The sequence below is a fragment of the Homo sapiens genome, chromosome 22 (genome assembly GCF_000001405.40).
Source record: "Homo sapiens chromosome 22, GRCh38.p14 Primary Assembly".
Classification (NCBI taxonomy): Eukaryota; Metazoa; Chordata; class Mammalia; order Primates; family Hominidae; genus Homo; species Homo sapiens.
The window spans coordinates 41,782,443-41,803,741 of NC_000022.11; the positions used below are offsets into that span (position 1 = coordinate 41,782,443).

Below are 21,299 nucleotides of genomic sequence, written 5' to 3' on the forward strand. Positions count from 1 at the left end.
AGTGGACTTATCCACAGAGCACCTCCTTCCCCTCAGCCCCTCCCTCTTGTAGGGCCTTGTCATCACAGTGCCCTGCGTGAGCTCCTCTGTGGGCTACTTCTCATGGAAACCATCTGCTAGCCTCTGTGGTATCCTCACACTGCGCCCAATACTGTGCCAATCTAGTGATGGGCACACAGAAGTGACATGAGTTTTAAACTTTGGCCTCTAGAGGGGCAACAAGCTGTGGCAAATCTATGCTCTGGCAAATCCTGCAGGTTGTTGCCTGTGGTTGGTTTAGGACAGAAACCTTTCCTAATTTTCCGTGTGAGGCTGCTGGGCTCATCCAGCTGTCTGCAGTCACCTGCCTAGGAGAAAACTTGCATTTTGTCCTTGGCTCTGCCCTGGCCCTCAGCTCACACCTAGGCAATTACCTGCTCCTAGCTACCTCCAGTGCCCTAACTCAGGCCTGATCATTCGTCCTCCCCACTAATGTGACCTAGTTACAGTCTCCTGGCCACCCGCCTCTTCCCTCCTCTGCATGTCCTATCATTGCAGCCACAGTCTGTCCTCACACCCCTTCTGCCCAAGCTCCTTCAGCAGCCTTTTTGTCCTCCTCTAGGCCTGGCCCTCTGCAGCCTTACTTTCTGCCATTCCCACCCACCTTCCCTGTCCTCTGGCCAGGCATTTGTGCTTCTCCCAGTCAGCTATGCTCCTTCACATTGCCATACCTTTTTTTTGTCTGTTTTGTTTATTATTAATAGACTTCATTTTTAGGACAGTTTTAGATTTATAGAAAAATGGTGCAGGTAGTACAGAGAGTTCCCATATAACACCCCCCCTCACCCCCGACACACATACACAGAGTTCCCTGTTATTTTATTTTTTCAGACAAAGTTTTGCTCTAGTTGCCCAGGCTGGAGTGCAATGGTGTGATCTCGGCTCACCGCAACCTCTGCCTCCTGGGTTCAAGCGATTCTCTTGCCTCAGCCTCCCTAGTAGCTGGGATTACAGGCATCTGCCACCACACCCAGCTAATTTTGTATTTTTAGTAGAGACGGGGTTTCTCCAAGTTGGTCAGGCTGGTCTTGAACTCCTCACCTCAGGTGATCCACCCACCTCAGCATCCCGAAGTGCTGGGATTATAGGCGTGAGCCACTGTGCCCGGCTTGTCTTAATTTCATAGATGAAGAAAGTCAGGCATGCTGAGAGAGGTGCAGTAACTTGCCCAAGGCCATACAGCTGACAGGTAGCAAAGCCAGGATTTTATTTTATTTTTTAAAGAAATGGAATCTGTCGTCCAGGCTGGAGTGCAGTGGCAGTATCCCAGCTCACTGCAGCCTTGGCCTCCCAGCTCAAGTGATTATCTCACCTCAGCCTCCTGAGTAGCAAGAACTACAGACACATGCTACCATGCCCAGATAATGTTTTTGTATTTTCTTGTAGAGATGGGTCTTCGCCATGTTGTCCAGGCTGGTCTTGAACTCCTGGGCTCAACGAATCCTCTCACCTCAGCCACCCAAAGTGCTGGGATTACAGGTGTAAGCCACTGTACCTGACTTGAGAGCCAGGATTTTGATTTGGCCTGTCTGACTCCAGATCTTCTGAGTTAGGTGTATAGTGAACAGAGCCAGAGACTGAACCACAGATGAGGCCAGAGAAGGCTGTCTGATGGAGGAGGCCAGTGAGGATGGGGGAGATTTGGAAGAAAAAGAGTTCTCCAGGTTCGGACTTGATTCTCCGCATGCTCCTGAAGCCAGGGCTGGTGCAGCTTGGAGGACTCTGTGTGGCCTCCTCCGTCCCCTTTTGATGCAGTGGATATGTGGGGGGAGGTGATAGAAGAGATTTTCAGGCAGGTTATTTTCTGCCCAGGCTTCCAGAACATGGGGGTTAGCCCTTTACCCTGTGCCCTGCCAGGTTCACCAGACACTCTCTGTGGAAATGGACCAAGTATTGAAGGCTCTCAGCTTTCCAAAGAAAAAGGCTGCACTACTCTCAGGTATGGGTCCACAAGTCTCCAGCAGAAGAAAAGCTTTTTCCCTAGGTTTTCAGATAAGACCAGCACCCTGACCAGCCAATGGTCACTCCATAATTGTCTCATCTTCATTGTCTCCCATCCTGTGACAGAGCTGGGTGGGAGGTGGGAAGGAGACAGGAATTGGGTGTAAGGAATCTCCTGCTTCCAGCTGCCATCTTATGCTTCCTGCGGACAGCCCTGCGACAAAGCTTTTCCTCTGCCCTGGTAGCCCTGGTGCCCTCAGGGGCCCAGCCACTGCCAGCCACCAAGGACACTGTCCTAGCTCCACTGCGAATGTCGCAAGTCCGGTCCCTGGTCATTGGGCTGCAGAACCTCCTGGTGCAGGTAAGGCCCTTGCTGAGTGGGGCTTGCTTCTCCCAGGACAACAGCAGGAAGGGGTGGCTGCCTGTCGAGAGCCTGATACTCCTACCAGGGCTTGGAGGGTGGATTAAGACTTTTTTAAAAAAATTATTTCTATTATTTTTATTTTATTTATTTATTTATTTATTTATTTAGAGACAGAGTTTCGCTCTTGTTGCCCAGGCTGGAGTGCAGTGGCGCAATCTTGGCTCACTGCAACCTCCGCCTCCCGGGTTCAAGCAATTCTCCTGCCTTAGCCTCCCGGGTAGCTGGGACTACAGGTGCCTGCCACCACACCTGGCTAATTTTTGTATTTTTAGTAGAGACGGGGTTTCACCATGTTGGCCAGGATGGTCTGAATCTCTTGACCTCGTGATCCGCCTGCCTCCGCCTCCCAAAGTGCTGGGATTACAGACGTGAGCCACCGCGCCTGGCATTTTTATTTTATTTATTTATTTATTTATTTATTTTTATTATTTTTTTAGACGGAGTCTAGCTCTGTCGCCCAGGCTGGTGTGTGGTGGCGTGATCTCGACTCACTGCAAGCTCTGCCTCCCGGGTTCACGCCATTCTCCTGCCTCAGCCTCCCGAGTAGCTGGGACTACAGGCAGCCACCACCACGCCCGGCTAATTTTTTGTATTTTTAGTAGAGAAAGGTTTTCACTGTGTTAGCCAGGATGGTCTTGATCTCCTGATTTCATGATCCTCCCGCCTCGGCCTCCCAAAGTGCTGGGATTACAGGTGTGAGCCACTGCACCTGGCCTATTTATTTATTTGTTTTTGAGACAGAGTTTGGCTCTTGTTGCCCAGGCTGGAGTGCAATGGTGCAATCTTGGCTCACTGCAACCTCCGCCTCCCAGGTTCAAGTGATTCTCCTGTCTCAGCCTCCCGAGTAGCTGGGATTACAGGTGCATGCCACCATGCCCGGCTAATTTTTGTATTTTTAGTAGAGACGGGGTTTCCGCATATTGGTCAGGCTGGTCTCGAACTCCTGACCTCAGGTGATCCACCCGCTTCAGCCTCTCAAAGTGCTGGGATTACAGGAATGAGCCACCACACCCGGCCTATTTTTATTTTTTTATTTTTTTATTTTTTTATTTTTTTATTTTTTATTTTATTTTTTTTTTTTTGAGACGGAGTCTCGCTCTGTCGCCCAGGCTGGAGTGCAGTGGCGCGATCTCGGCTCACTGCAAGCTCCGCCTCCCGGGTTCACGCCATTCTCCTGCCTCAGCCTCCCGAGTAGCTGGGACTACAGGCGCCCGCTACCACGCCCGGCTAATTTTTTGTATTTTTAGTAGAGACGGGGTTTCACCGTGTTAGCCAGGATGGTCTCGATCTCCTGACCTCGTGATCCGCCCGCCTCGGCCTCCCAAAGTGCTGGGATTACAGGCGTGAGCCACCGCGCCCGGCCCCTATTTTTATTTTTTAAATACAGATGGGGTCTTGCTATATTTCCAGGCTGGTCTCGAACTCCTGGCCTCAAGTGATCCTCTTACCTTGGCCTCCAGAAGTGCTAGGATTACAGGCATAAGCCACTATTCCCTGCCTGGGTGAGACTTTTAAAGCTACAGTGACAGAAACAAAACTCAATTTGGCTTATAACTGAGAAGTCCTGGGGTCAATACTGGCTTCAGGCACAGCTGGATCCCAGAAGCTCAGAGAAGGTCATCAGACTCTTTCCATCTATTGGCTTTGCATTCCTCACTGTCAGCTTTATTTTTATGAGATAGTAGGATGACCAGCAGTAGCTCCTAGCTTATATCCTCTATGGAAAAAAGATTTCTCTTTCCTCATAGTTCCCAGAATTGAGTCTCATTAGGCTGGCTTGGGTAATATGCCAGTCACCATGGCTGGGGCATGGGATGCCCTGATTGGCCTGGCTTGGGTCAGTGCCCTCTCCTGGAGGCCAGAGCATGTGGTCAACTCTCCATAGCCCAGGTGGACTGGTCCTAAGAGAGGGATGGTTCCCCATGGGAAAACTGCTACCAGAAGAAGGAGGGGATCCAGAGCAAGCAAAAGCATGTCTACCTCCAAGGGGTTTGTGTTTTATGGCTTAGGAGACACTTGTAGATCAGTGTTTATGTAGCCATCATATCCCGAGCCCTGACCCAATGTCATGGCCTATGAAGGATACTGGGGGCCCCAGGAAGATGTCCCAGGAGTGGGCCCTATGCTGAGTTAGCGGTTGTTGAGTCTTGTCCTGTGGCACATCCTTGCACAAGGCTCTGTGCTCTTTAGGGATCAAACATCTATCCTATTATAGCACTTAGCTCTCTGTTTCAAGTTTCCATTTTCATATCACTATTCCCCCAACCAGGCTGTGATATACTCAAGGGCAGAGTCTGGGTCTGGTTAATCTTTGTGTGTCCTTCCCCTTGTGGGTTTAAAGCTAATTTAGAATGCAGGAATCAGATGAGAACCAAAACATAAGCTTTATTGCTGGTAAACATCATAGTAGAATATTGGCTGGGACTCTGGAACAGAATGGGCTTTTTTTTTCCTGCAGTTTTTCAAACATACAGCAATGAGAGAGTTTTACAGTGAACATTCATACACCCAACACCTAGATTCTACTAATAACATTTTATTATACTTGCTTAATCATATCTGTCCAAAATGAGCTTTTTAAAACACCCTCCTTCTTGCCAGACCAGGGGTCCACAGGCGGGAAAAACTGTGTTTGCATTATGGACACTTAGCCAGCTGGCCAGGATCTTAAGAGTTTAAGTTCATGGGAGCATAATCTTTAATACCTTAATCCTGCCCTGATGGCACAGTAGATCTTAAGCTAGTATCTTGCCTGCTAGATAAAACCTTCCTTGGGTGAGGAGGGCCAGTTAGGGAAATGCTTTCTCCCTAATGTTTCTAAAAGCGCTGATGTTCCTGTTTTAAGATTCAGAACAGGAGGTGTGGGGGGAATGATTTCCCAATACCCAGCACAGAGCTTGGCACAAAGTTGGCATCTGGGAATGTTTGTTGAATGGATGAAAACCACAGAAATTAACATTACATGATCCCAGCCATTTAGGCACTCACAGATTATAGGAAACACAAATAACTACATCTAATACCAAAATGACCTATTAGCAGTTGAGCATTCCTAATACAAAAGTCCAAAATCCGAAATGCCCAATGAGCATCTGCTTTGAGCATCATGTTGGTGCTCAAAAGTTTTGGATATGGGGATATTTCAGATTTCAAATTTTTAATTACAGATACTCAACCAGTATTTGTTTTTTTGTTTGTTTTTGAGATGGAGTCTCGCTCTGTCACCCAGGCTGGAGTGCAGTGGTGCAATCCCAGCTCACTGCAACCTCTGCCTCCTGAGTTAAGTGATTCTCCTGCCTCAGCCTCCCAAGTACCTGGGACTACAGGTACGCACCACAATGCCTGGCTAATTTTGTATTTTTAGTAGACATGAGGTTTCACCATGTTGGCCAGGCTGGTCTCGAACTCGTGACCTCAAGTGATCCACCTGCCTCGGCATCCCAAAGTGCTGGGATTACAGGCGTGCCCAGCCTCAACCTGTATTGGAAGGCTGCACAGGAGAGGTAGCATTTGAACTGGGCCTTGAGTGATGAAAAAGCCTTCTTCAAACCAATAGCCTAAACACTAGGGTGGGGTGCCAGTGAGGTTTGTGGGTTTTGTTTTGTTTTTTTTGAGACATAGTCTTGCTCTGTCACCCAGGCTGCAGTGCAGTGGTATGATCCCAGCTCACTGCAACCTCCACCTCCTGGGTTTAAGCGATTCTTCTGCCTCAGCTTCCTGAGTAGTTGGGATTACAGGTGTGTGCCACCATGCCTGGCTAATTTTTGTATTTTTAGTAGAGACAGGGTTTCACCATGTTGGCCAGGCTGGTCTCAAACTCCCAACCTTAGGTGATCTGCCCACCTCGGCCTCCCAAAGTGCTGGGATTACAGGTGTGAGCCAACGTGCCCAGCCACCAGTGAAGTATTGTATAGCACTTTCACCATTCGCCTCTCATGCCCAAGAGCCTAGGTGTCTCCCTGGCCTGTGACATTCAACTCTGCCTCTGGCAACTGTTTATTTTTATTTTTGAGATAGGGTCTTGCTGTCGCCCAAGCTAGAGTACAGTGGCATGATCATGGCTCACTGCCACCTTAACCTGCTGAGCTTAAGTGATCCTCCCATCTCAACCTCCTGAATAGCTGGGACTACGGGTATACACCACCATGCCCAGCTAATTTTAAAATACTTTTGTATTGGTAGTAAGGCCAGGCGCAGTGGCTCATGCCTGTAATCTCAGCACTTTGGGAGCCAAGACGGGCGGATCACTTGTCAGGAATTTGAGGCCAGCCTGGCCAACAGGGTGAAACCTCATCTCTACTAAAAATACAAAAAAATTAGCCGGGCGTGGTGGCGCGCACCTGTAATCCCAGCTACTTGGGAGGCCAAGGCAGGAGAATCACTTGAACCCGGGAGGTGGAGGTTGCAGTGAGCCAAGATCATGCCAGTGCACTCCAGCCTGGGTGACAGAGCAAGACTCCATCTCAAAAAATAAATAAATAAAAAATAAAATACTTTCGTAGAGATGATATCTCACTATGTTGTCCAGGCTGGTCTTGACCTCCTGGGCTCAAGCAATCCTCTGGCTTTGGCCTCACAAAGTGCTAGGATTACAGGTGTGAGTCACTGCACCTGGCCTTGTTTTAATTGTAGTAAACTATATATAACATACAATTTAGTATTTTAATCATTTTAAGTATATGGGTCAGTGGCATTAAGTACATTCACATTGTTGTGCAACTTTCACCATCATCCATCTCTAGATCTTTTCATCTTCCCAAACTGAAACTCTGTACCCATTAAACAATTCCCCAGTCCCCTCCCCCAGCCCCTGGCATCTACCATTTTACTTGCTATCTCTATGAATTTGACTACTGTAGGGACCTCATGTAAGTGGAATCCTGTATTTGTCTCTCTGGTAGTTTTTGACTGTCTGTCCTCAACAGTCCCTGGGAAGGGGAACCCAACCTGAGAAGCTCATGACTCCCCCTGTAGAAGGTGCTGGGCCTACCCTGCTTATGGGAGGGTATTGCTGAGGAGCCTGTCTTAGCCTCACAGTGACTGCCCTATAATTGCCTAGTGAACAGGACCAAGTAGGCTTTTCCTCTTTTCTCTCACTGTCACACTCTCGAGAAATTTCCTGGCCTTCTTTGTTCAGCCACAATGTCCCCTCTGTCACTGCCCAGGACCTCATGGCTATAGCTAAGCCTCCTTCATTCCCTTCAACCAGTTTGTTGTTTAAAACTAGTTTGTTTGTTTTTTTGTTTTGTTTTTTGAGACAGACTCTCATTCTGTTGTCCAGGCTGGAGTGCAGTGGCGTGATCTTGGCTCACTGCAACCTCTGCCTTCCAGTTGCAAGAGATTCTCGTGCCTCAGCCTACCAAGTAGCTGGGATTACAGGCACTTGCCACCATACCTGGCTAATTTTTTGTATGTTTAGTAGAGACAGGGTTTCGCCATGTTGGCCAGGTTGGTCTCAAAACTCCTGGCCTCAAGTGATCTGCCTGCCTTGGCATCCCAAAGTTCTGGGATTACAGGTGTGAGCCACCGCACCCGGTCTTAAAACTCGCTTTTTATTCATTTCTTCATTCATTTGTTCAATGATTCATACATTCAGCAAATATTTATTCCACAGTAACCCAGCAATAGAGGAAATCCCTCTCCCTTGAGCTCCCAGAATGGTTCATTCAGCTGTGAATTGAGTATCACATTATCATATTTTATTATATGATAGTGGTTTACATTATCTTCTTCCACTGAACTTCTTTTTTTCTTTTTTTTTTCTGAGACAGAGTCTCACTCTGTCACCCAGGCTGGAGTGCAATGGCGCGATCTCGGCTCACTTACAACCTCTGCCTCCTGGGTTCAAGTGATTCTCCTGCCTCACCCTCCTGAGCAGCTGGGACTACAGGCTCCCGCCACCATGTCTGGCTAATTTTGTATTTTTAGTAGAGACAAGGTTTCACCATATTGGCCAGGTTGGTCTCGAACTCCTGACCTTGTGATCCGCCCACCTCAGCCCCGAAGTGCTGGGATTACAGGCGTGAGCCACCACACCTGGTCTGAAAACTTCTTTTAGGCAAAAATGCCCCGTGTGGGAAGTCAGAGGAGGCTTCACAGAGAAGGTGACATTTGAACTCAGCCTTGAAGGGTGTCTAGGCAGAGGTATAGAGGGAAGGGCATTCCGGCAGGACAACAGCATGTATAAAATCACATATTCTGAAAGTGCATGCTGGGGTGTGGGGTGTGATGAAGCAGAAAATGAGACAAAAAGCTGGGCAGAGCCAAACTGAGCCATGCCTCATACATTAGGCTAAGAATCACTGTGCGAACTGTGGAAGGACATCTATCAGACTGTGTGTTTGAAAGCTCTCTCTCGGGCTGGGTACTATGGCTCATGCTTGTAATCCTAGCACTCAGGGAGGCCAAGGTGGGTGGATTGCTTGAGTCTACGAGTTCCAGACCAGCCTGGGCAACACAGCACAACCCTATCTCTATAAAAAATACAAAAAATTAGCTGGACGTGGTGGCACATGCCTGTAGTTCCATCTACTCAGGAGGCTGAGATGGGAGGATCACCTAAGCCCAGGAGGTTGAAGCCAAAGTGAGCTGTCATGATGCCACTGAGCTGCAGCCTGGGTGACAGAGTGAGACCTGTCTCAAAAGAAAAAAAGCAAGTTCCCTCTCAGCCACAGTGGGAAAGATGGGGGCAAGGAGAGTGCCTGGAGGTAAGGCAACTGGTGAACAAGAGGCTGTACATGCAGATGACAGCTAGGCCATCCTCATACCCATGAGGGTGGCTAAAATAAGAACACAGATAATAGCAAGTGTTGACAGGAGGTGGAGAATGTCCACACAAAACCTTGTATCTGAATGTCCATAGCAGCACTATTCATAATGATGAAAAAGTGGAAACAACCCCAATGTCCATCAACTGATGAATGGACAAATTGTATATCCATACAATGAAATACTATTTGACCATACAAAGGAATGAAGTACTGACACATGCTACAACATGGATGAACCTTGAGAACATTAAGTGAAAGAAGTCAGATACAAAAGAGCACATATTATGATTCTGCTTATGAGAAATGTCTGGAAAAGGCAAATTCATGGAGACAGAAAGTAGATTAGTAGTTGCCTAGGGCTGAGTGGAGAGATGGGGGAATGAAGAGTGACTGCTGAGTATGGGGTTTCTTTTTAGGGGTGATGAAAATATTCTTGAATTACATTGCTGTGCAACTCTATGGATATAATTTTAAAAAACTACTGAATTATATCCTTTAAAGGATGAGTATTATGGTTTGTGAATTATATCTCGATAAAACTATACTTTTAAAAACTGGTGTCAAGGGAGAAAAATGACAGTGAAGCCTAAGCTAGGGCTCTGGGTGCTGGTCCTCCTTGACACCTCTGGGCCAAAGCAGCCTGGTGGCACCAGCACTACAAACTGAGTGCTGATCAGCTATGCAGAATCTTCAGCAGTTGGGTGGCCCAGTGCAGTGCAGTGGAAGGTACAGTATCTAGAGTCACAGGAATCTGTGTCAAAGCCCCTGCCCAGCCTCTGACTTGAAAATGTTTAGCAAGTCACTTTTTACTAATCTTTATGTTCTCCATCTGCAAAATAAAAGGCTGACATGAGAACAGCCTCTATTCCCCCAGGAATGGAGCACGGTGGAGGAAAGTGTTAGTTGAAATAAGAGTAGAGAGAGTGTCCAGGGTCCACCATCCTGGGTCACATGGGGTGAAGGGGCAGGTCAGTGGCAGCAGAGGGCTGTGAAGAAGGGCTGTGGGCACTGGAGTGATAAGGGTGGTTATGGGGGTGATAAGTGTATGTTTAACTTTATAAGAAGCCATCAAATTGTTTCCCAAAGTGGCTGCACCATTTTATCTTCCCACCAGCAATGTATGAGTGCCAGCTTCTCCACATTCTCCTCAACACTTGGTGTTGTCAGTCTTTTTAACTTTAGCTATTGGTAGATGTACAGGGGTACCTAGTAGTTTTAATTTGCATTTCCCTAATGACTAATGATAAATATTTTCATGTGCTTATTAGAGCATACAATTTTGATGAAAGATCCTGTTGCTTTAAAAAAAAAAAAAAAGGTTGAAACCCACTGGCTTAAGTAAACTGTGAGGCTCTGTAATCTATAAATCTTTTAGTGTGGCCCAGGGTCCATCTTCTTTTCTGAAACAAAGCATTCTTTTTTTTTTTTTTTTTTTTTTTTTTTTTTTCAGATAGAGTCTTGCTCTGTTGCCCAGGCTGGAGTGCAGTGGCATGATCGTGGCTCATTCTGCTCCCGGGTTCAAGCAATTATCTGCCTCAGCCGCCCAAGTAGCTGGGATTACAGGCGCCCACCACCACGCCCAGCTAATTTTTTGTATTTTTAGTAGAGATGGGGTTTCATCATCTTGGCCAGGCTGAACTCCTGACCTCGTGATCCACCCGCTCAGCCTCCCAAAGTGCTGGGATTACAGGTGTGAGCCACCACGATGGAGTTTCGCTCTGTCGCTCAGGCTGGAGTGCAAGTGGTGCAATCTCAGCTCACCGCAACCTCCGCCTCCCGGGTTCAATCGATTCTCCTGCCTCAACCTCCTCAGTAGCTGGGACTACAGGTGTGCACCAACACACCTAGCTAATTTTTGTATATTTAGTAGAGATGGGGTTTCACCATGTTGACCAGGCTGGTCTCAAACTCCCGACCTCAGGTGATCCAGACGCTTTGGCCTCCCAAAGTGCTGGGATTACAGGCGTGAGCCACTGTGCCTAGCCCAAAGCACTCTCCTGAATGTAGGTAAATCACACAGTATAAGCACTGTGCTCTGTATGAGGGTGAGAGATGAAGCCAATAAACATTTCTTGATTATCTACAGGGCTATAATCCCAAATCTGAAATTCTGAAATCCAAGTAACTCTGAAAACCAAATGTTTTTTCTTGGTTGGCACCAAAAGCCATTGGTAGCAAAACCTGACCTGATTTTTTTTTTTTTTTTCTGCAGAAGGACCCTCTATTGTCCCAGGCCTGTGTTGGCTGCCTGGAGGCCTTGCTTGACTACCTGGATGCCCGGAGCCCAGACATTGGTAGAAACTCTCCACATTATCTGATGTTCCCATGAGAGAGATTAGAGGGAGCAACACCCTTCCACCCTCCTGCTCCAGCCTTCCATTCCCTTGTGTGACTCATACTTGTTTTGTTTAATTCTTTTAGCAGCACTGCAAGGGCAGTCATGCCCATTATACAGATGGGATCAATAAGGTTCAGATAGGTCAAATGATGTGCCCAACCAAGGTCACAATGCTCTTAAGTGGCAGAGCCCTTCTTACTGCCTGCCTTCCACAATCATGGCGTATATAGTTTCACCGAGCCAGTCAACATAAGTGGATTAGAAGCCCAGGGAAGAAAGAACCCTCCTTGGGTCAGCTTGTTCAGTGCCCTGTCTCTAACTGGGTAGCCCCTTTTTAAGCCAATAGGAGAAGGTCCTCTTGAGCAATGTCCCAAGGCAAGGTCTTGGAAGCATTAACAACCCAGTGTTTCTTGAAGCTCTCCACGTGGCCTCCCAGCCTTGGAATCGGTTTTTGCTGTTTACCCTCTTGGATGCTGGAGAGAATTCCTTCCTCAGACCTGAGATTTTGAGGCTCATGACCCTGGTAAGTGCAGAAAGGATATCTTGTGGTCTGAGGAGTGTCATGAGCTGGGTGGTGCTGAAGAGGCCAGGGTCTCCTTACTTTAGGTAACCCTAATCCTTAAAGAAGGTGGAAGGGCTCGGCAGGCCTTCACCCTACAAGAGACTTGCTGAAAGAATTCCTCTGAATGCCCATATCTCCTCACTCCAGGGGACTCCGACACCCTTTCCCCTATTTCTCTCATGACATGTTGACCAGGGCCTGTCTACCACATGCCAGGTCTGCTAGATACTAAGGATATCAATGAACCAGATACTCTGCCTTTAGGGTCCCTCAGTCTAAAGAGGACGACAGACAAGTAAACTAGTAATGTAAATATGATGCTACAAGTGGTAGAGTAGAGGAGATGCTAACTGTGGGGCACACAGTAAGTGCCCCTTGAATAAATAACAAAGCAGCAGGCCTAAGAATGACAGCGAAGTGGATCATCAACAAGTACATCAGTGGTTGGTGTAGGAACAAAGAGGAAAGAGTAATTGCTTCTCAGCAGTGAAGGTAACATTTTAGCTGTGGCTTGAGAGATTAATAGGCAGAGAGGAGGAAAGGTATTCCAGGTAGTGAAGTACAAACAACAGGTACAAGAGCACATGGTGGTATGTCAGGGGAGCCACACGTAGTTCATTTTGGCCATGAGTGTTCAGTGCAAGGTTGGGTAGGAGGGAGCCAAGGCCAAAGGGGTCAGGAGGGCCAGCTCTCTCAGGATCTCACAGGTTGCCTTACTTACCCCACTTCCCCATGACACAGTCCCACCTCTGCCCACTAACTCTGAGCTCCTTGAAGGCAGGCAGGTTCTGTGGGCTTCAGGACAGTGTCTCCTAAAGTTGGGGCACAGCAGTTGTCTATGATGAAGGAGATGCCAAATCACTGGGTGTTTGGGGGTTTCTCTTCCTGGGCCAGTTTATGCGGTACCGGAGTAGCAGTGTCCTCTCTCATGAAGAGGTGGGTGATGTTCTGCAAGGTGTGGCTTTGGCTGACCTGTCTACCCTCTCGAACACCACACTCCAGGCCCTGCATGGCTTCTTCCAGCAGGTGGGTGGGAAGGGGAGGCCATGCAGCCACTGTAAAGCTAGACCCTCAACACCATCTTCTCTTGGAGGGTGGGAGCTCTGGCCACAGCAACCAAGGAATGGGAGGAGGGAAGTACAGAGGATGGAGGCAGTTAGGGCCTGTGTGGAATGGGCACTGAGGAGGCCTGTCTTCCCTGCCCTCTTCTCCCTGCAGCTCCAGAGCATGGGACACCTGGCTGACCACAGCATGGCCCAGACCCTGCAGGCCTCCTTGGAGGGCCTTCCCCCTAGCACCTCCTCAGGCCAGCCACCCCTGCAGGACATGCTGTATCCTTTCTTGCATCTATGATGAAGGAGATGCCAAATCACTGGGTGTTTGGGGCTTCTCTTCCTGGGCCAGTTTATGCGGTACCGGAGTAGCAGTGTCCTCTCTCATGAAGAGGTGGGTGATGTTCTGCAAGGTGTGGCTTTGGCTGACCTGTCTTGGCCTGGGCAAGCTCTCCCAGGCCATAAGAAGCTGTGGCATCATGCTTCAGGACCTAGGTGCACTAGTCTTCTAAAGTAAGCAGGGGTCAATTAACAGTGTTGACAACAACAATGCCGTGTCCTGTTAATATTAAGTTCCTACAGAAAGCAGGCACATTACATGCATTTTACATATATATATATTTATTTATTCATTTTTGAGATGGAGTCTTGCTCCGTCGCCCAGGCTGGAGTGCAGTGGCACGATCTTGGCTCACTGTAACCTCCGCCTCCCAGGCTCAAGCGATTCTCCTGCCTCAGCCTCCCGAGTAGCTGGGACTACAGGTGCCTGCCACCACGCCCAGGTTTTTTTTTTTTTTTTCTATTTTTAGTAGAGACAGGGTTTCACCATATTGGACAGGCTGGTCTCGAACTCCTGACCTTGCGATCTGCCCCCCTCGGCCTCCCAAAGTGCTGGGATTACAGGCATGAGCCACCATGCCCGGCTACATGCATTATATTTAATCCTCACATCAGCTAGGAGTGTTAAGGTACTTGTAGTACAGGTTGAGCATCCCTAATACAAAAATTAGAAATCCAAAGTGCTCCAAAATCTGAAACTTTTTGAGTGCTGATGTGATGCTACAGGTGGAAAATTCCATACCTGACTTCACATGATGAGTTGCAGTCAAAATGTAGCCAAAACTTTGTTTCATGAATAGGCCAAGTGCGGTGGCTCACGCCTGAGGCCAGGAGTTTGAGACCAGTCTGGCCAACATGGTGAAACCTCATCTCTATGAAAAATACCAAAATTAGCTGGGTGTGGTGGCATGTGCCTGTAGTCCTAGCTACTCGGGAGGCTGAGGCACAAGAATCGCTTGAATCGGGGATGCGGAGGGCAGTGAGCCAAGATCACACCACTGTACTGCACCCTGGGCGACAAAACATGACTCTGTCCCAGAAAAAAAACAAAAAATTTTGTTTCATGAATAAAATTATATTTTTTACATTCTTTTTATTTATTTTTTTTAAGACAGTGTCTTGCTTTGTCACCCAGGCTGGAGTGCACTGGTGTGAACATAGCTCACTGTAGCCTTCACCTCCTGGGCCCAAGGGATCCTCCCGCCTCAGCCCTCCGAGTAGCTGAGACTACAGGTGCACACCAGCATGCCTGGCTAATTTTTGTAGATACAGGGTTTCACCATGTTGCCCAGGCTTGTCTCAAACTCCTGAGCTCAGGTGATCTGCCTGCCTTGGCCTCCCAAGTGCTGGGATTACAGGCATGAGCCACTGTGCCTGGCCCATGAACAAAATTATTTAAAACTGCATAAAATTACCTTCAGGTGGCCAGACGCGTGGCTCACGCCTGTAATCCTAGCACTTTGGGAGGCCAAGGTGGGTGGATCATCTGAGGTCAGGAGTTCAAGACCAGCCTGGCCAACATGGTGAAACCCTGTCTCTACTAAAAATACAAAAATTAGTCGGCTGTGGTGGCACACGTCTGTGATCCCAGCTACTTAGGAGGTTGAGACAGGAGAACTGCTTGAACTTGGGCGGCAGAGGTTGCAGTCAGCTAAGATTGCACCACTGCACTCCAGCCAGGGCGACAGAGCAAGACTCCGTCTCAAAAAAATAAAAAATTACCTTCTGGCTATGTGTACAAGGTGTATATAAAACAAATGAATTTTGTGTTTAGACTTGGGTCCCATCCCCAACATATCTCATTATTATAGGCAAATATTACAAAATTCGAAAAAAAATCTGAAATACAAAACACTTCTGGTCCCAAGAATTTTGGATAAGGGATACTCAACCTGTACCTACCTCCTAGGGTTGTAGCAAGGACTTAAATGAGTTAATATATGTAAAGCACCAAAAACAGCTCCTGGCTTGGTGTGAATGTTATATTGGTGTCTGTTATTATTCCTACTCCCTTTCCAAATAACGAAACTGAGGCCAGAGACATTCAGTCGTGCCCAGAATCACAGAGCTAGTGATACAATCAGGATTTGACCTCAGATTTGCCTGTCTCCAAAGCTACATCACCGAACTCAGAAAGGAGCTAGTCCTTCCCCCATGAGCTTTGGAGACAGTTGTCCAAGCGCAGTTGGTTCAAGTGATCCTCAGCCCAACACACACACACACACACACACACACACACACACACACACACACACACACACACATAGTGTGTGTCTCTGTGACTGCCATGTTCTTAAGAAAGCTTGGATGGCCAGGTGCACACACACACACACACACACAATGTGTGTGTGTCTGTGTGACTTCCATGTTCTTAAGAAAGCTTGGATGGCCGGGTGCAGTGGCTCACGCCTGTAATCCCAGCACTTTGGGAGGCCAAGGTGGGCAGATCACCTGAGCTCAGGAGTTTGAGACCAGCCTGGCCAACATGGTGAAACCCCATCTCTACTAAAAAATACAAAAATTAGCTGGGCGTGGTAGCATGAGCCTGTAATCCCAGCTACCCAGGAGGCTGAGGCAGGAGAATCACTGGAACCTGGGAGGCAGAGGCTGCAGTGAGCCAAGATCGCGCCACTGTACTCCAGCCTGGGCAACAGACCAAGACTCCGTCTCAAAAAAAAAGAAAGCTTGGGGGCCGGGCGCAGTGGCTCACACTGTAATCCCAGCCAAGGTGAGTGGATCACTTGAGGTCAGGAGTTCTGAGACGAGCCTGGCCTACATGGTAAAACCCCATCTCTACTAAAAATACAAAAATTAGCCGGGCATGGTGGTGCATGCCTGTAATCCAAGCTACTTGGGAGGATGAGGCAGGACAATCACTTGAACCTGGGAGGTGGAGATTGCAGTGACCAGAGAGCCGAGATTGTGCCACTGCACACTCCAGCCTGGGTGGCAGAGTGAGACTATGTCTCAAAAAAAAAAAAAAAAAGCAAGCTTGGGGCTGTGGCAGTGGTCAGAGACCCTCTGGTAGGTGGCTGGTTGCACCCAGAGACACTGCAGTCCAGAGATACTGCAGTCCAGAGGTGTGTGTGAGGGTAGTTTGCTTCCTCTGCACCCCTCTGGCTGCCTCCCTGGCTCTCTTCCTTGCCCCTTCCGTGCAATAGTTCCCTGTTGAATAGCAACTACCTAGCCCAGGTGTTCAGGACCCAATTTCAGAATCCATCCCACTATTCTCAGGAGCACTTCTGTTCTTGCCTGACCATTCTTGACTGTTTTGGGCTCTGGAAGTGTGATGCCCCCATGGTTGGCCCCACTTCTCTGCTGTTTTCCTCTCATGTTTTGCTGCCAGCTGCCTGGGAGGGGTGGCTGTATCCCTGTCCCACATCAGAAACTGATCCTCAGGACTTGAAGGCCCAGAAGTGGAGAGAGAATGAGACCTGGAGACAAAGGGCATAATTGTTGGGGAAATGGATGACAGCTGAAGCTATTCATATGGAGCCATATACTCTATTGTTGAAATAGAATAAGGAAATAAAATGATACACTCACATACCTGCGCGAGCTCTCCAAAAACACTGTACTACCTTGTCTACCAGGAGCTGGTTTCTCAGCCAGTTGGATAAGGGATTGTTTCAGCAAGGAGACTGATGGCCTCCTCAGGGAAGGAGGGACGGGACAGGATTTGTTCTTGTAACAGCATTCAAGGAGTCAGCTGGGTGCCTCAGCTGTACTCAGAGAACACCAGTCAGGCCATCCTGGGGCTGGCAGGGCAGAGAAAGGCCTAGGGGTTGGGGCTGCTGCGATTCAACAGCTCCCAGAGGCACTTGACCTGCTCCCTCGCCTCACGTGGAGGTGGATAGAGGTAAACTTTCCAGGCAAGGAGGGTCAAATTCTCAGCTTTCCTATCAGAACGAAACTGTCCCAGCCTCAGCCCTTGTCTGGCTAAAGTAGGTCACCTCTGTCCCTTCCCGTACAGCCGTCATCAGAACTGGTGTTTATGCACCCTCGTGGGTAGATCCTGGGAATGCATGTCCAGCTTGGTCCCCGGCATGAGGTCTGCGCTCGACAGTGCCTGCCCTGCGCCTGTTCTGGGGAGCTCAGCCCAGACCGGGCCTCCAGCTCCCTTCCCGCCCGGCAGGGGCCCCGGGCCCGGAGATGGCCACGCCACGCTGCCTTCTCGGGTCTGACTGTCCTGATCCTGCGCAAAAGTGGGGCTGCACTCGGCCTAACGAACGGACGAGGAAGCCCCCGCCGCACTTGGCTTATTAGTTGGTGGACCGGAGGGGCAAGGAGGGGATGCCCGAATCCTGCACTGAGTCTCTGAGGTCCTTAAAGAAGAACAAAAGTGCTAGTCACCGCCCACTAAACTCACGTTGCGATCTAAAGTTTAAAAACTCGGCCACAGACGACGACACAGTTTCAGGGAGGGCGCGCAGAAGGTCGCCCGGCCGACAGGAGCTGGGACCCCAGTTTGCTGATTCACGCCTTAAATTGGGCACAGACCCCACCCACAGATTTAACTTCCTCCAACACAAGCTAAATCCAGGGCCACGTACCCAGGGCCCGCAGGAGGGACAGGACGAGGATGGTGCCCACAGCGCGCTGGAGGCACGCCAGAGCCTGGAGGGGCAGGCAGGGGCGGTGGAGCGGGGCCGGAAGTGAGGCTAGCGGAGCCCCGCAGTGGCGGCTCGCGCTCATTGGCCGGGAGCAGCGCGGTGGGCGGGACGGAGCTCGGCGGTCTGCGCTCGGTTGCTAGCCGTTTGCTCCCGCTTTCAGTTGCTTTGCTGTTAGCCTGTTGGACCTTCGAGCCTAGCTGCTCGCACAGGACTCGGCCACCTGCCCTTCCTGCACCGACTGGCCAGGTAGGTGGCTGTAGGGGCCGCGGGCTGCAGGTTCCCGGGAAGGATAATGAGAGAACCGAGGGCCTCGAACCGGCTGCAGGTGGTGGGGAGGGAGTTTCGTGGACCTGGACGCCTCTGTTCCTTGAGAAGGCTCGCTCCCTCCTCCGGGAGCTCCGAAGGCTCGGGGTCAACCACCTGGGCCCCCGACCCCGGTAGCTGGCTCAAGGCCCGCCACTACCTGGTACCTCTGCAGGAGTTCAGAGCCTCATGCTGAGCCAGGAGGAGCTCCGGGTGACGCATACGGCAGGATCGGGATTGAGAGGCTGAAAAAGTGAGTTTAACAGTAGAGAAAGCAGGACCTGTCCCGCAGGCTGCTGTTCTGGCTTTTCTTTCCCACTACCTGCTTCAGTCATTGCCAGCTGTCTGGTATTCTCCTTGGCCCCTAAAGTTTTGCCCTAGCCTGGTTCTGGTTCCCTTGAGTTTGGAGCAGGAGGTGGAATGTGGAGGGTCCTGGGTGAACTTGGACTATTCCTTCTCTAGGTTTCACTTATCTCGTCTGCTTGGGGGTAGGGGGTTCTCCGGATGATCTCTGCAGCCCCTCACTGTCTGTAACTGAGCATCTCTCCCCTGGGGCAGGTGTCCTGGTAGTTCAGTAGCCAGCTCTGATCTCAGGTAGCCTGTGCTCATTTACAAAGAGTCAGAAGACAGAGCACTGGACTTAGAGCCAAACAGACACTTGGTTCAGCCTGGGAATAGCTGTGTGACTTTGGGCAGTCACCTCATTTTTCTGTGCCTTGATTTCACATTGGTAACATTGGGGAGTTGTAATCTGAGTGTGAGACCTCTCCTGACCACTTTATGTAATCTTGTACCTGACCGACACCCTCTCATCCCTCTGTGCTTATTTTACAAGTTTATTGATCAACTCTTATCCCTACTAGAGACAAGTACCATGAGTGCAGAGATTTTTGCTTATTTATTGCTGTATTCCCGCCTCTAGAACAGTGCCTAGAGTGTGGTAGGTACTGTCAACCTAAATAGCAGAGTGAGAGACTCTAAAAAAATGATGTTTACTTGGGAATAGACATTGTAGTGACAATATGTGTGCCATAGTAACCTGTGTACGTATTTGGGGAGGTAAAGGAAGACAAAGGTTTTGAAAAGGAAAAATGAGGATTACATGATTATTTTGAGATAGTTATCCTTGGCTACAAGGATGAATAGCAAGAGTGGTGCTAGTCTGAGGTTGGACAGGCAGTTGCAGGGCAGATGTCCTCACAGAAAGATTTTTCTGTGTAAGTTTGCAGTGGCCTTTGTGCAGGGTTGTGGTTTTTGCATTTTTTGTGATCTTGTTATCAGTCATTTGTGCATAAGAACCCTCTTTTCACAACCTTCCTCGGTTTTATTTGTCAGAGTTGTTGTTCTTGTTTTTTCCCATTGGAGAATCATGCTTTAAATTTGTCAGAGTTTTTAACACAAACGACTCTGTTTTGATTCTAACAACTTTCATATTTCCCCCTTTTGGTCAAGATCTTTCTCCAAAAACTTTACTGATCAGTCATCCTGTAGTTAGGTCCCTCAGTGCTGGGACGGACCTATCTTGGGTTGTTGGTCTCTTGCCATGTTGGAGACTAGGAGTCTCCAGTTGGAGACTGGTGACTAGGAGTCAGTGTCAAAACCCTTGTAGTGGTTGGGAGCAGGGGCTCACGTCTGTAATCCCAGTACTTTGGGAGGTCAAGGAGGGAGTATCACTTGAGTCCAGAAGTTCAAGACCAGCCTGGGCAACCGCCAAGGCGGGCGGATCACCTGAGGTTGAGAGTTCGAGACCAGCCTGACCAACATGAAGAAACCCGTCTCTACTAAAATACAAAAATATATATAAATAACATCCGGGCGCGGTGGCTCACACCTGTAATCCCAGCGCTTTGGGAGGCCGAGGCAGGCGGATCATGAGGTGAGGAGATCGAGACCATCCTGGCTAACACGGTGAAACCCCATCTCAACTAAAAATACAAAAAATTAGCCGGGCGTGGTGGCAGGTGCCTGTAGTCCCAGCTACTTGGGAGGCTGAGGCAGGAGAATGGCGTGAACCCAGGAGGCAGAGCTTGCAGTGAACCGAGATCGCACCACTGCACTCCAGCCTGGGCGACAGAGCAAGACTCTGTCTCAAAAAAATAAAAAATAAAAAAATAAAAAATAAATAAAATAAAATACAAAAATTAGCCGGGCGTGGTGGCACATGCCTGTAATCCCAGCTACTAGGGAGGCTGAGGCAGGAGAATCGCTTGAACCTGGGAAGTGGAGGTTGCGGTGAGCCGAGATCGCACCATTGCACTCCAGCCTGGGCAACAAGAGCGAAACTCCGTCTCAAAAAAAAAAAGTTATCTGGGCATTGGTTGGGGAGTGTGCGGGAGTCAGTTGGGTAGAGGATCACTTAAGCCCAGGAGTTTCAGGTTATAGGGAGCTATGATTGTACCGCTGCACTCCAGCGTGGGTGACAGAGCGAGACCCTGCCTCAAAAAACCCCAAATACCTTTTAGCCACATTTGAGCAGCAAGGGAGGTTTGGAAGGAGTGGCTCTCAAGGTATGTCTACCTGGAGTTCATTGTTAAGTTCAATTTTGGCTGTTCCATAGGCATTTGCTGTCATTGCAAACTTCTGGGCCAGCATTATTCTGTCAGGAGTGATACTTCAACAAAAATTTAAAAAGTAATAGGTATAAAGTTTAAAAAGAAAATAGGGCTGGGCACGATAGCTCACCCCTGTAATCCTGGCACTTTGGGAGGCCAAGATGGCCAGATTGCTTGAACCCAGGAGTTCGAGACCAGCCTGGCCAAGATCATGAAACCTCGTCTCTACAAAAAATACAAAAATTAGCCAGGCATGGTGATGCACACCTGTAATCCCAGCTACTCGGGAGGCTGAGGCAGGAGAATCACTTGAACCCGGGAGGCAGAGGTTACAGTGAGCCAAGATGGTGCCACTGCACTCCAGCT

The 21,299-nt window shown here is 49.0% G+C and overlaps 2 protein-coding genes across 25 annotated transcripts in view, besides 6 other annotated features; both read left to right on the forward strand.

Annotated features, from left to right (window-relative positions):
- MEI1 (meiotic double-stranded break formation protein 1) overlaps positions 1 to 17,012 on the forward strand; it is a 99,952-nt gene extending 82,940 nt beyond the window's left edge. For 13 of the 22 annotated variants that reach the window (XM_011529945.4, XM_011529937.3, XM_011529943.3 and 10 more), the window contains 7 exons: positions 1,852 to 1,978; positions 2,166 to 2,341; positions 11,387 to 11,468; positions 11,929 to 12,035; positions 12,969 to 13,100; positions 13,293 to 13,405; positions 16,812 to 17,012. In XM_011529945.4, coding sequence (XP_011528247.1) covers positions 1,852 to 1,978; positions 2,166 to 2,341; positions 11,387 to 11,468; positions 11,929 to 12,035; positions 12,969 to 13,100; positions 13,293 to 13,405; positions 16,812 to 16,857 — 783 coding nt within the window. In that variant the 3' untranslated portion in view covers positions 16,858 to 17,012. Of the gene's footprint in view, positions 1 to 1,851; positions 1,979 to 2,165; positions 2,342 to 11,386; positions 11,469 to 11,928; positions 12,036 to 12,968; positions 13,101 to 13,292; positions 13,406 to 16,811 lie in introns of those variants that run through there. The other 9 variants (NM_152513.4, XM_011529940.3, XM_047441161.1 and 6 more) reach the window with 7 other exon arrangements.
- Positions 17,058 to 18,044: an enhancer, noted in NCBI's record as "H3K27ac-H3K4me1 hESC enhancer chr22:42195504-42196490 (GRCh37/hg19 assembly coordinates)". NCBI's record gives its function as "activates a minimal SCP1, AML or CMV promoter by ChIP-STARR-seq in naive H9 embryonic stem cells {active_cell/tissue: H9 hESC(naive)}" and the evidence as "EXISTENCE:reporter gene assay evidence [ECO:0000049][PMID:30033119]".
- Positions 17,058 to 18,049: a biological region, named in NCBI's record as "H3K27ac-H3K4me1 hESC enhancer GRCh37_chr22:42195504-42196490".
- Positions 17,520 to 17,609: a silencer, noted in NCBI's record as "silent region_13797". NCBI's record gives its function as "represses an Ori minimal core promoter by ATAC-STARR-seq in GM12878 lymphoblastoid cells {active_cell/tissue: GM12878}" and the evidence as "EXISTENCE:reporter gene assay evidence [ECO:0000049][PMID:35858748]".
- Positions 17,820 to 17,899: an enhancer, noted in NCBI's record as "active region_19134". NCBI's record gives its function as "activates an Ori minimal core promoter by ATAC-STARR-seq in GM12878 lymphoblastoid cells {active_cell/tissue: GM12878}" and the evidence as "EXISTENCE:reporter gene assay evidence [ECO:0000049][PMID:35858748]".
- Positions 17,970 to 18,049: an enhancer, noted in NCBI's record as "active region_19135". NCBI's record gives its function as "activates an Ori minimal core promoter by ATAC-STARR-seq in GM12878 lymphoblastoid cells {active_cell/tissue: GM12878}" and the evidence as "EXISTENCE:reporter gene assay evidence [ECO:0000049][PMID:35858748]".
- Positions 18,200 to 18,259: a silencer, noted in NCBI's record as "silent region_13798". NCBI's record gives its function as "represses an Ori minimal core promoter by ATAC-STARR-seq in GM12878 lymphoblastoid cells {active_cell/tissue: GM12878}" and the evidence as "EXISTENCE:reporter gene assay evidence [ECO:0000049][PMID:35858748]".
- Positions 18,237 to 21,299, forward strand: part of CCDC134 (coiled-coil domain containing 134) — a 31,486-nt gene continuing 28,423 nt past the window's right edge. For 2 of the 3 annotated variants that reach the window (NM_024821.5, NM_001304797.2), the window contains exon 1: positions 18,237 to 18,324. The gene's annotated coding sequence lies outside the window, so the exon portion shown is untranslated. Of the gene's footprint in view, positions 18,325 to 18,556; positions 18,635 to 21,299 lie in introns of all 3 variants that reach the window. The other variant, NM_001382346.1, reaches the window with a different exon arrangement.